This window comes from Homo sapiens, chromosome 10 (genome assembly GCF_000001405.40).
Source record: "Homo sapiens chromosome 10, GRCh38.p14 Primary Assembly".
NCBI classification, from domain to species: domain Eukaryota; kingdom Metazoa; phylum Chordata; class Mammalia; order Primates; family Hominidae; genus Homo; species Homo sapiens.
The window spans coordinates 82940692-82954453 of NC_000010.11; the positions used below are offsets into that span (position 1 = coordinate 82940692).

Genomic DNA, 13762 nt, shown 5'->3' on the forward strand with positions numbered 1-13762 from the left:
TGCTTCATAAATGATGCCTTCTTGTTGTACCCTCACATGGTAGAAGGGGCAGGGAGCTTCCTTGAGTTTATTTTATAAGAGCAGTAATCCTATCTGTGAGGGTGGAGCCCTCATGACTTACCCACTTCCCAAAAGCCCCACCTCTTAATATGATTCCATAGGGCATTAGGTACTAACATATGCATTTTGGGGGCACACCAATATTCAGACCATAGCAGACGCTATACTCAAATAAGGTCATATGCATATAGCTACTGGAGTCATTACTTCAACATCTTTTGGAAGACAAAATTCAATCCATAACAGTGGGAGTTTCAAGTAGAAAAAGGGAAGGTGCTTCTAGCCTGAATAACACAGTGTAAAAGACATGGAGCCTTTTAGTACCTCCTGGTCATCTCAGCTTCTCTGCACTTGGATGGTGGGACTGGAGGCCCCCCACCCCCAGGCAGCTTTCTCAGGGTTGCTTGTAGCAAGGCTCAGGGAGCTGGTTCTGTCTTCCTGATATTCTTATTATATGCCCACCCTGCCAGGGTGCCACCCTCTGTAACTGCCCCACCCTGCCAGTGTATGTTTGATCTCATTGATCTCATGGTAAGGATTCCTTTTATTTGCCTTCAGGCTCTCTTTTAACTAAATGAAATACTTGTTTAAGGCATTTATAAGGCCATTGAACTCTTTGTTCATTTTTATCTGCAAGTTAAAAAAAGCATATCCTGATTTCTAAACATTCTAAATATTCTCCTTTTCATTCTCTTTTCTGATCAAGGTTCATTTGCAACTGCTTATAAGCTCCTAATATTTTAATCTATCCCAAGCATTTGTTGATTTTTAAAAATAAAATTCAGGAGACCTGCTTTATCTAACAATAATTAATGCTGGATTAAATGCACTTAAACTTAATCCAGTTAAAATGAGGACAAAAAAGTCAGAGTGCAACCATTAGGGAGAGACTGACCTACACAGATGATGAGGTTGGTTTGATGGATAGAAATAAATACTAGAATTAGGCAGGGAGAAATGCTGGAGTGAAGACTCATTTCATAAATAGTGGGTTCGTTATTGAATATTGTTGTATTATGATGACTTTTGCTTCTCTATGTAGACTCTTAACTTCAGGGCCTCAGATAATGAATACTTGGATAGAAAGGAGCCTCTGAGGTATAGTTGGTTGATTTTTAGAATGACTATAAGAGTAATCATGCTTCATTTTGATACCTAGTGGCAACACATAGGATCTGATTTGCATATCTTGAGTATGCGGGTTTCCAGGTGAAACTTTTGCTTACTTATATGACATATAGGTTTGTGTGTGTGTGTGTGTGTGTGTGTGTGTGCTTCAACCTCACACTACTTGAAGATCAGCACATTTATGGACATCATAGTTGAGCTCAGTGTCTTTTAGGCCACCCTAAAAATGGTGGTACAAAGGAAATGTTCTCAAGAAGCACTAGAATCCTAGGTCCCTATACCTGGAGGGGATATGGAGGTGCCATTTAGAACAGTTCCTGTTCCCTCACACATGTAGGAGATCATGCTGTATCATGGTCTCCCACACCTCTGTCCTCCATACAGAGATCTCTCTGGGGAAATAGTGTAACAAGAACTATGACTGTGATTTTCTTTCGGTAGCATTCTTTTTTCTACGTAGTACAGCTTAACAAGTTTCTATGGAGAGACTTTGAGAATTTTATACTGTTGCAGTTTCCAAAAGAATTACCATAAGGCTGTGTTACACATCTGGATCTGAACTATGGCTGCCCAGTTAAGTAGATATCATGCTAGCCAATAAGTGTTCCAAGGATTCTGTGTCTCCAAGGACAAAGAGCACAATTTATTTTTCTTAAAGGGAGAAGTGAGGGAGAGTATGAAACTAGAGAAAGTAACATTATGGTGAAATTTCAGAACCCAGCATTAGAACAGTGGAGAGAATCTTTTTGGCAGGCAGCCTGGCCTGAGCCTTGCCCTTGCCCTTGCCCTGGACTCATCTCACTCCAGGACTCATCTCACTCCAGGAGCAGAATGCATGGTTGTTGCATGCGTCTGTTTCACCACCAGCTGTAACTGCTCTTATCCTCTTATCCATTGTCTTTACCAAGAAAATGGAAGAAATACTACACACTTCCTATTTGTTTATCTGTGAGGGAGAGTGTGAAAGACAGAGCCCATTCCCCAAAGAGGTCTGCTTGTATTACATCCCTCAAAATTTCTGGGCAGGAAATTCAAAACCACAATTGAGAAATATAGTTACCAAGAGTGAAAGTACAAGTTAAAAAAAATGAGTTAAAAAAAAAAGACATAAAAATAAATTCCTTAAATACCAGTTTCTGGACACAGACTTCTCCAGAGTTAGCAAGTCACTGACTGCCTGTGGCTAAGGCTAGTTTTGCATATGGGAGTAGAATATTTTAAAGGTTCTTTTTGACTTAATGCTGCTTCAAGAGAAAACGGAAAAAGGAAAGAAACTGGCGTTTTGTGCATCATTTATATGCCATGTATTATTCTAGGCACTTTGTTCGTGCTTATGTGTTTAATCCCTAAACATGCAGGTATGCAATGTTTTTCTATTTTATTGGTAAGGACAATGAATAAGAGGATAAGAACAGTTGCAGCTGATGGTAAAAGTCAGGCATGCATAACCACGGACCACACTGCTCCTTGAGTGGAGTTGGCTCAGGGTAAGGGGTGATCTTAGCCAGGCCACCCTTGGTGGCATGGCTCAATCCAAGTTCAAAGGCCTCAGAACCAGGGAAGCCAATGATGTGATTCTCAGTCTGAGGCCAAAGGCTTGAGAACCCAAGGTCATTGATTTAAGTTATAGGGTCCAAAGGCCAGGGAACCTGGAATTTTTGTCCAAGAACAGGAAAGGAGGAGTATATCTCAGTTCAACAAATAGATCAACATATTTGCATTTTCTCTCATTTTGTTCTCTTCAGGATCCCAGAAGATGGGATGGTGCCTGCCCATATTGAAGTCAGATTTTCCCCATCTAGTCCACTTAGATGAACATGCTAATGTCCTCTGAAAACATCTACACAGACATACCCCAAAATAATGCTTTATTAGGTTTCTAGGTATTCCATGTTCCAGTCAAGTTGACACCTAAAATTAGCCATCACACAGGGGGGAAAAATTTTAAAATATAGAAAGATGAAAAACCAGAATTTATCGAATTACTATGTGCTATATGCTTAAGAAACCTTACTTGATATCATTCTCATTATAAACATACTTGATATTGCCTTTATGTAGGGAGGAAATTGAAGTTTATAAAGGTAAAGTAGCATACTTGCAGTCACTCATTTTAAAAGTGACCAAAATTAAAGTCAAATCCAAAATTACCAGACTCTCAGCCCCTTGATTTATGCTGGTTCTCGCATAATACCCTATGAATCAAATGCACTGATAATATACCATCATTGTAGCTACACCTGGGTCTATAAATTCACTTGTAGTCTTTGTAGTTTTAATTTCACTCTTGATTTAAACTCAGAACCTTTTTTTATTTTTGCATGTCCCCAGGCTACATTTGACTAGCTTCAAGTAAAAAACAAAACAAAACAAAAAACATACTGCATAAATGTTATGTGGAAATAATTCATTTTTGTGAGTGCAGTCTTATGTTTTTGTTTGTTTTAGTGGGCATTATTCTCCATAATTTTTATAATTCTTTTTATTTGCAGAAGCAGGGTAGACAGATTATTATACGCAAGTCATGCTTATTCCATTTCAGTCATGAACTGACAATTAAGTAAAATGGAATTCTTAAGAGTTGGCACAAATATTTATTTGTTTCCAAGTTCAACTGGAAAATTTAATGAACTTGCAAATGTGGGGGTGGAAAGGATGACATTTTTTAAGATGATGATATGCCTAAACAGGTCTTAATAATACATGTTTTATCCCTTCAATTTGAATCTTTCCAACTTTAAAATGTCAACCCAAGCCTGCTGGGGCACATGATTGCCCCTCTCGACTTACTAAGAAATGTAGACAATGTGATATTTTTTAGGTTTACTTTCTGTTTTCTATTATGCCAGCCCAAATAAATGCATTAAAAACAAAAATAAACCCTAAGAAGAGAGAAAATGTTCGAAAACATTTGTTCCCAACATAATTCCACAGGAAAAAGTATTAGAAAACATGAGGTCATATCTTAAGAGAGGATATAGTGCATGGTCTCAGAAAATAGAAGAAATAAAGGAAAATAGGTCCTAGAATGTGGGCTCTCTACATGTAGGTTTTGATCCAGATTTGTTTCATCAGGCTTCCATTTGCTTATTAATGATAAAGTACTGCAAGTACCTTTACTGGTAGAGAAACACCACAAGTCCCCATGGACTAATTTCAGCTGACCCTGGAAGCTTCTGCAGCATTTTGGGAGCACCCCAGAAAGTCACGGTATGAAGAATTTTGTGTACCTGAGCCACCCCTCAGCTTGCTTTTCTGTCTTTGAATTGCCATCAGCACCAAATGAAGCTAGTCTAGAATATAAAACCAGGCAGCATACCAGTGTCAGCATTAGAGTATGTTGGTTGGAACAGCACACAAATCCAACACAGAGATAAACAATCAGAATACCTACATATCAGTTGATCATGCTGCTCATCCTCTGAGGCCAGGGTACAAGTGCTTTCACCATTTTCCTTATGGTTCTTTGTGCTGTGAAAAGGACTTTGTGAGTGCAGAATCACAGTGAGGAGACCAAGGTTGGATGAAAAGTCCCCTGTTTTAGCCTATAACTGAATACCACAAAATGGGTACTTTATTTTGAAAAAAGAAATTTATTTGGTTCATGTTTCTGGAGGCTGGGAAGTCCAAAAGCATAGCGCCAGCATCTGGTGAGGGCAGTTCTATGGCAGAAGGGGGAAGGCAAGTGAGCTCAGGAGACAGAGAGAGGAAATTGAGCTGAATTCATCCTCTTATCAGAAGCCCACTCTTGTGATAACTAACCCCCTCCTGTGATAACTAACCCCCTCCTGTGATAACTAGTTTACTCTCATGATAACAGTATTAATCCCTTCATGAGTGGAGCCTTCATTGCCTAATCACCTCATAAAGGCCCCACTTCTTAGTACTGTTACAATGACTATTCAATTTCCAACACAGGAACTTTGAGGAACATATTGAAACCATAGCAGCTCCAAATGGAGAAGCTGGGTACAGAGTTTGGATGTGGGTGGGGTCAGAAGCAGATGGTCAACTCACGAAAGGAGGATGTGTTTAAGCCTAGGAGTACCTGATATCAACATGGACAGATTCTAAGCCTTAAGAACACTCTGGGGTGAGAATTGATGTAACATGAACAATTCTGTAAAGACAGAAATATGCATTTGTTAATTCAAGTAACAAGTCTGAAGTGTCAATGATGTGGGAATTGCTGCACTAGGTGCTGAGGAGATAATGATGAGCCAAATGAGTAAATTAATGAAGAATATGGTCCCCTGAATCAGTGGAGCTTACTGTGCAAGGCTTTTTGATAGTGCAAGGCTCTTTGAACTAGTGACATTTAATTTGAGATTTAAAAAAAAAAAAAAAAAGTGGAGTGGTCCTTTAAAAGACAAGCAGAAGGCGTGGAGCATTGGCTCGCGCCTGTAATCCCAGCACTTTGGAAGGCCAAGGTGGGTGGATCACAAGGTCAAGAGATCGAGACTAGCCTGGCCAAGATTGTGAAACCCGGTCTCTACTAAAAACACAAAAATTAGCTGGGCATGGTGGCACGCACCTGTAGTCCCAGCTGCTCGGGAGGCTGAGGCAGGAAAATCGCTTGAACCCAAGACAGGGATGTTGCAGTGAGCTGAGACCATACCACTGCACTCCAGGCTGGTGACAGAGCAGGACTCTGCCTCAAAAAAAAAAAGCCAGCAGAAGAATAAAGCAAACAGCATGTTTCAAGACTCTAAGGACTGAAATGGTAGACATAACAGAAAAAAAGGAGAGTGGTTGATATGGGTGAGCAGTGTCATATCAGGCAGGTCTTTCAGACCATACTAAGAATTTTAGGTATTATAAGTCAAATAGGAACCTAATAACACAGTAAAAATAGAATATACACACATATTCATTCATATACATGCATATATATGATTTAATTTATATATTAAAAGGTTTATATTGCCTGCTACATGGAGAATGGTTTATGGGAGTATAATCATAAAAGAAGACTAAAAGATAAAAAGCTATGTATTATTTTATATTCTGCATATTCGACATATTCTTTGCATATTCTTTGTATTCTTTTGTACCCTAGGATTAATATTTTTGCAGCTATAGTTGACATAAGATAAGCCACCTGTTTATAATGTATCACTAGATACATTTTTGACATAAGTATTCACCAGTGAAACCACCACTGTAATTGAGACGATTAACATGTCTGTAACTCCCAAAAGTTTCCCCACATCAATTTGTAATCTCTCCTATCAGTCCCTACTCCTGTCCCCAGGTATCTACATACATGTTTTATGTTATTATAGTTTCCATTGTCTAGAATTTTGAATAAGTGGAATTATACAACATGTACCCTGTTTGCTGTCTGATTTATTGCACTCAGCATATTTATTCTGATATTCTTCCATATTGTAGTTTCTATCAATAGTTCATTTCTTTTTACTGCTGAGTACTATTTCATTATATAGAAATGTAATAATTTGATTATCCATTTACCTGTTGATGGATCCTTGGGTTATTTCCAGTTTGGGGGGCTATTAAAAATAAAGTTTCTATGAACATTGGGTACCCAGTGAAATTGAACTTTCAATAGTTGTTGGTAATGGAATGGCGAGATCATAAAGTAGGTATATTTTTAATTTTCTGTGAAGCTACTATTGGAAATGGCTATATAATTTTACCTTTCCATCAGAAGTACATGAGAGTTCTAGTTGTTCACATCCTTTTCACATTTGGTATGGTAAGTCTTTAATCTCACCTATTCTAGCGGGGGTGCCATATATCTCATTATAATTTAATTTGCAATTTAATAATAATGAACAATGTTGGGTATCTTTTTAGGTACTTATTTGTCATCCAGATATCTTTGGGGAAGTGTCTATTCAACTATGTTTTGCTCACATTTAAATTGGTTTGCTTATCTTATTATTGAGAAGTCATTCTTATAAATTAAAGATACAAGTCCATTGTTGAATACATATTTTGCAATTTTTTCAGACTGTATCTTGCCTTTTGATTTTCATAATGGTGTCTTTGAAGAGCAAATGTTAATGTTGATAGATAAAGTCCATTTTATTGATTTTGAAATATTTTCTAGTTTGTAGCTTTTATATTTTAGTTAAGAAATCTTTGCCAAATCCATGGCACTAAGATTTTTTCCTATGTTTTCTTCTAATTTTGTAGTTTAAACTTTACATTTACATCTATCATCCTTTTTGAGTGTATATATGTATAGAGTATGAGATTAGGATCCAGGTTCATTTTTGTGGATATGGCTATATATACTATTGATGCAATGTCATTTTTTGAAAATATTCTTTCACCATTGAATTATGTTGGCATCTTTGTCAAAACCAATTGGCCACATAAGTTTCGAATATTATATTTCAGAACGCTTTTATCTGTTGCAATTATTTATTTGTCTATAATTAGGCCAATACCATATGCCTTGATTACTACAGCTTTATAAGAAATCTTGAAATAAAGTCATGAGATTCCACAACTTTGTTCTCTTGGCTACAGGAACGTTGTTTTGGCTACTGTAGATCTTTTGTATTTCCATAAAACATTTAGAATTGGCTTGTCAACTTCTGTGACAAGAACAACAAAAACAAAAATGCTTCCTGAGATTTTAATAGCATTGCAATCAATCTGTCTATCATCTTGGGGAGAATTGACATCTTAATAATATCAAGCCTTCTAATCCATAAACATGTTATATCTATTTATTTAGATCTTCTTTTAAGCTTTTCAATGTACAAGACTTGTGTGCCTTTTGTTAAATTGATCTCTATGTATTTTACATGCTTTGATGCTATTGTAAATGACATTTTTGTTTCAATTTTTCTTTGTTGCTGTAAAATGATGTACATTTATTTTTGTATCTCTCTCCTATAACCTTGTATCCTGAAATTTTCCTAAGCTTACTTGATAATTATACTAGGTCTTCTGTAGATTCCATCAGCTTTTCTGTATAAATTGTCATGTTGTTTGCAAACAAAGACAACTTTTCTTCTACTTTCCCCAGCTGAATGATTTTTATTCCTATTTTTTCTTGTTACATTAACTAAACCTCTGGTACAGTGTTGACCAGAAGGTATGAGAGTGGATATTCTTGCTTTATTCCTGATCTTAGGGAAAAAAACATTCTTTCACAGCTAGATATAGATTTTTTATAGCTACTCTTTATTAGGTTGAGGAAGTGCCTTCTATTTCTAGGTTTTGAGAGTTTTAATCAAGAATGAATATTAAGTTTGGCTATGTTTTTGCCTCTGATCTAGTTGTTAAATTATCTGCTTAGATGTAAAAATGGTGAATCACATTGATTAATTTTAAAATATTAAACCAACCTTGCATTTTTGTGTATAAACCTTACTTAGTCATGATGCACTATACTTTTTATATATTGTTGTATTTTATTTCCTAAAATTTATTAAGATTTTTGCATCTGTGGCAATGAGGGCTATTTATCTGTAATTTTTGGTTAGGTCTTCGTCTTTTTCGGAATCATGATAATACTGGCATCATAAAATGAATTTGAATCGATTGTTTTTCTTTAATTTTCAGTGATGAGAAGCCCCCGAGATGATAGGAAACAATGAACACCAAAGGAATTATTATTTTATTTAAAAAATAGTGCTTGCTATAATTGAATAATGTTCTAATTTTAGTATGCATGAGAAATACCTGAAAATTTTACTTAAATAGAGATCCTGGCTGGGTGTGGTGGCTCACACCTGTAATCCCAGCACTTTGGGAGGCCGAGGCAGGCAGATCAGCTGAGGTCAGGAGTTCGAGACCAGTCTGGCCAACACAGTGAAACCTCATCTCTACTAAAAGTACAAAAAGTAGCTAAGCATGGTGGCAGGTGCCTATAGTCCTAGCTACTTGGGAGGCTGAAGCAGGAGGATCACGTGAACCCAGGAGGAAGAGGTTGCAGTAAGCTGGGATCACGCCACTGCACTCCAGCCTGGGTGACAGAGCAAGACTCTATATCAAAAACAAAAACAAAACCAAAAAAAAAACCAAAAAGATCCTGATTTAGAAAGAAGGAAACCATAACTAGTATTAACAAAGAAAAACATATCTCCTCAGGTGATTTTTTATGTAGATGATTCATGTTTTGAGAACTCTTAGTCTGCTCAAAAGTTCTCAAAGTGTGTTTCTCAGACCAGTAGCATCAGAATCACCTGGGAACTTTTTAAAAATGCCGACATTCTGTACTCACTCCAGATCTACTAAATCAGTAACTCTGGGGAAAGAAGTAGGTGCAGTCTGTTTTTTATTAGGCTCCAAGGTGACTCCAGTGCATTACAATTTGAGAACTATTGTTCTATGTTAATGACACAGAGAGAGAATGTATATAGATGCAATTAATTTTGTATATTTTTAGAATATATATGTGTTAAATAGTGGGAAATTTCCTCTAAATTGGCTGCTTGTTTCTTATGACCTGTATAGAAGGTCTGAGAGTGAGAGAGGGAAAGTTGTGTCAGGTGTGTGAGTAGTGTGGAGACGATATGGCTGATCATTAGGGAAACAGGAAGGCAGGCTGATGACATTGTTAGTGACCATTAGATGACTACTTAAGCTCTGTGATTGCTGTTCTTTATTGGTGTCCATTTGCCCAGTGGTACAGTTTTCTTCCCCCATTCTGAGCTGCCCACAGTAGAGGTATGGAGAAGGCAGTTTCTTGGATTTGTGTCCATTTATTTTGCCAAATAGGTAGAAGGGAAGACAAAAGGGATAAAGTAAATAGAGTATTTGCAAGAGAGTAAATGACTGTAGTCATGGACCATGGTCACTGTCCTATATAAACAGAAAGATGAAGACAAGACGAGGATAATTAACAGAGAAACTGCTGGGTTCTACGGATACAAAGTCTTGATGAGATGGAAGAATTGTTTAGGTAGATACAGGTTAAGAAAGGACCTAGGAGTATAAATGGTAGTGGCTACAGAGTGAAATGTTTGTTTTTGAATTATTGTCATTTTCGTGATAAGCTACAAGGTATGACCTTGGTAATAGAGGCTGAGTTCTACTGTGCCAAATCATTGGTATTGAGAAGGACAGAGACTGGGTGAATAAAATACTTACGTGCCTATTGATTTTTTCTTCATGAGTGATGTCAATCATAGTGATAGTAGGAAGAATGGGAGGCTGACAGCCAAGGACTAAATCAGAATCAGAAAACACAGGGGCATCAGCACCACAGAAGGTAAATTAGAAGGCATCACTGCCACAGGAAAGCTCAGAAGCACCTGAGTTTGTTTCTCTAGCTGATTAATTTGGGCCTTACCACAATTTCACAGGCTTATGTCCCCAGTAAATCCTAAAGTCATAGAATGTCTTTTGATGATAAATCTGTAATCGCAATATCTGAGTATGAGTTCTGATGTAGCCATGCAGATACAAATAATAGCAACCAGTTATCCTGTAGAACTTTGCAAAGTAATTGAATCATAATAAGTTCCTTGTTTTTTCCCTATTTATGACAGAAACCAAAAAGTTGGCTTTGAAAGACTCCTACCAGCTCAGAAGTACATGGATGAAGATAGTTGCTGATGCACCCCGCTAGCATCCATTCTAATTTTGTTTTTCAAATTCACAGAGAGTGAAGAAGTTTATCAAAGGCAGGTGCTGTCAATTTCATGTATCATCTTTGGAATTGTCATCGTGGGCATGTTCTGTGCAGCATTCTACTTCAAAAGCAAGTAAGACTATTTCTCTCAAGTGTTTAAAGGTTACTTTTAGAGAAAGCGCTTTGTGTTACTTTAAGTTCTCAGTCTGTGTGCCACACAGAGGGAACCTGTGGAAATGGGTCTAGCAACAATCTGCAAGTGACTTAGGACATTTTTGTAAATTGTGGTGAGTGTGTACAGGCATGTACATGCATGTATGTGATGTGTATGTGCACACATGTGTGCGCGGTTTATCTACGATGCACATAATGATCATTCCTCTCAGTGACCACGAACATTCTATGTTCTTTGCACTGATTCACCACTTGCTGGTATTAAGGGCTTGGTGTCTGCCTGTCACTAAAGGCTAACTCTTCTGAACAAAGGGGCCACTGCTATGAACCTGCACATTATCAACCATTATCTATCTATTTCTGAAAAAACAATTCAGTTTTTCATAAAGATTTTAGGCAAATGTGGAATATGAATACTAAAAAATATACTTCAGTTTACCAGTTGGTATGCACATGTTGAATATGCCCTAAAGTTACCTTGCTGAGAAACTAGACCTTCTTCAGATAAAGGTGTTTATGTTTGACTAGAAATAGATGTAGGCCAGGTGCAGTGGCTCAGCCTGTAATCCCAGCACGTTGAGGGGCCGAGGCAAGTGGATCACCTGAGGTCAGGAGTTCAAGACCAGCCTGACCAATATGGTGAAACCCCATCTCTAGGAAAAATACAAAAATTAGTTGGGCATGGTGGCGTGCCACTGTAGTCCCACCTACTTGGGAGGCTGAGACAGGAGAATTGCTTGAACCTGGGAGGTGGAAGTTGCAGTGAGCCCAGATCACACTGCTACACTGCAGCCTCGGGGACAGAGTTGTCTCAAAAAAAAAAAAAAAGTAGATATAAACGTCTCTCTCTCTCTCTCTCTGTGTGTGTGTGTGTGTGTGTGTGTGTGTGTGTGTGTGTGTGTGTGTGTATTTTTCCAAATGAACTCTGGTAGACGTATTTCATTTATTAAAATGATATAATCTGCACTTAAGAAATGCAGATAAAAATATTAGCCCCTTGGTTTCTCATGTCTTAAGAATTTTGCACAGATTTGGTTCCTACAGCTTGTCTGAAATTCAAGCCAATGTGTAATTGCTTTTCAGTGGACCTATAATTTTTTACCAATTTGCTCTTCTAACATGGGATTAATTTCCAGGTATAGTTTGTGATACCTGTCTGCATGTTATCTGTGTTGATTCTCAAAGAAAACTGTGATTATGATTTTTTAAAATAACAGAAACTTGAGCATCAATTCAGAATTAGTAACTATTATCTTCCTAATAAACTATTTCAGAATGTTTTTTAGATATTTAGAACTGTTGCAAAAATAGAACAGACAGTTTCTATATACCTTAGACCAAAGTTCCTCCATTATTAATGCCTTACATTAGCATGGTACATTTGTCACAATTAATGGAACAATATTGATATAGTATTACTAACTAAAGTCTGTATTTTCAGATTTCCTTAGTATTTTACCTAAGGCCCTTTTGTTAATGCCAGGGCCCCATCCTTACCATATGATATTAGCTGTTACATCTCCTAGGCAACTCTTGGCTGTGGCAGTTGTAACTATCAATTTCTGAACACTTACTCTTTGCCAGGCACACTGGGCTTCTTATGTGTTAGCTTCCAATCACCACAGAAATCAGAGTTGTGCATTATTACTGCATTTTTCAAATAATACCAGAATTTATTTTAAAATGTTTATTTTTCAAAGTCATAAAGAAGAAAATGACAGATAGGTTCTTTAATTTTAGGAGTTCTAGTTTAAATCACATGCTCTAAACCTCTATACCATACTGGTTCACATAGTCCTTCTGCTAGATGGTGGAGCTGCGCAGAGCGAGTTAGGAGTTACTCTCTTTTGTGCAGCCCATAGCACTTTATGTTCTCCAAGAATGCCATCTGGCATAATGGTCAGGGTTGTACACTAGTGAGTCATACTTGGATTCAAATCTTCAGGCTGTCATTTACTTGTTATATTTGATTAGGCAAATTATATCGTGTCTCTTAGCCTTGGTTCCCTTTGTGGTAAAATATGAACAAGTATAATATCTACCTTATAGAATTTTGTTAAGGATTAAATGCAATCATGGCCAGACGCGGTGACTCATGCCTGTAATCCCAGCACTTTGGGAGGCTGAGGCAGGAAGATCACTTGAGACCAGCCTGGCCAACATGGTGAAATTCCATCTCTACTAAAAATACAAAAATGAGCCAGGCATGGTGGTGAGCACCTGTAATCTCAGCTACTCGGGAGGCTGAGGCACAAGAATGGCTTGAGCCTGGGAGGTGGAGGTTGCAGTGAGCCAAGATCGCACGACTGCACTCCAACCTAGGCAACAGAGTGAGATTCAGTCTCAAAAAAAAAAAAACAATGCAATCACAGTGTAAAGGGCATAGCAAAGTGTTTAAAAGAGTAAATACCCAATGGAGGCTTGCTGTCGTTAACACCCATGGTTTTCCACACTAGAACTTGGAGGCTGGGTAGCTATAAAGTTAAGAGCCTCCCCTGGAGCACGAGAGTGGTAATCACACCCAGCAGGGTGGTAGTTAGAAGTGTCTCCCTGCTAGAGCTTTGTACAAGAAAGAAATTCCTTACTTAACAATAACCAAATTACAATAAAGAAGCAGTTAATCACTTATTTTTACAGTATAATGTGTAGTTGTACCACATTTAAATGAAAGACAGATCATGGTAATTATGAAAGCAAACAGCTGGATTACCAGGGGACTTCCATCTTTGGGGCTGTCAATGTCTCACTCTGGACAGCAAGAGGGCTCTGAGATCAACATCTCCTCCTGGGACTCAGTGAGGAGTCAAAGTGTTTAATGAAAACAATCTTCAACATCAGATT

General features: G+C 37.7%; 1 protein-coding gene across 26 annotated transcripts in view; it reads left to right on the forward strand.

Annotated features, from left to right (window-relative positions):
- NRG3 (neuregulin 3) overlaps positions 1 to 13762 on the forward strand; it is a 1111986-nt gene that overhangs the window by 1065498 nt on the left and 32726 nt on the right. For all 26 annotated transcript variants that reach the window (NR_163251.1, XR_001747009.3, NR_163252.1 and 23 more), the window contains one exon: positions 10778 to 10880. Coding sequence is in view for 22 of the 26 variants with exons in the window: in XM_017015573.3 (XP_016871062.1) it covers positions 10778 to 10880 (103 nt within the window). In the remaining 4 variants the exon portion in view is untranslated. The remainder of the gene's footprint in view (positions 1 to 10777; positions 10881 to 13762) is intronic.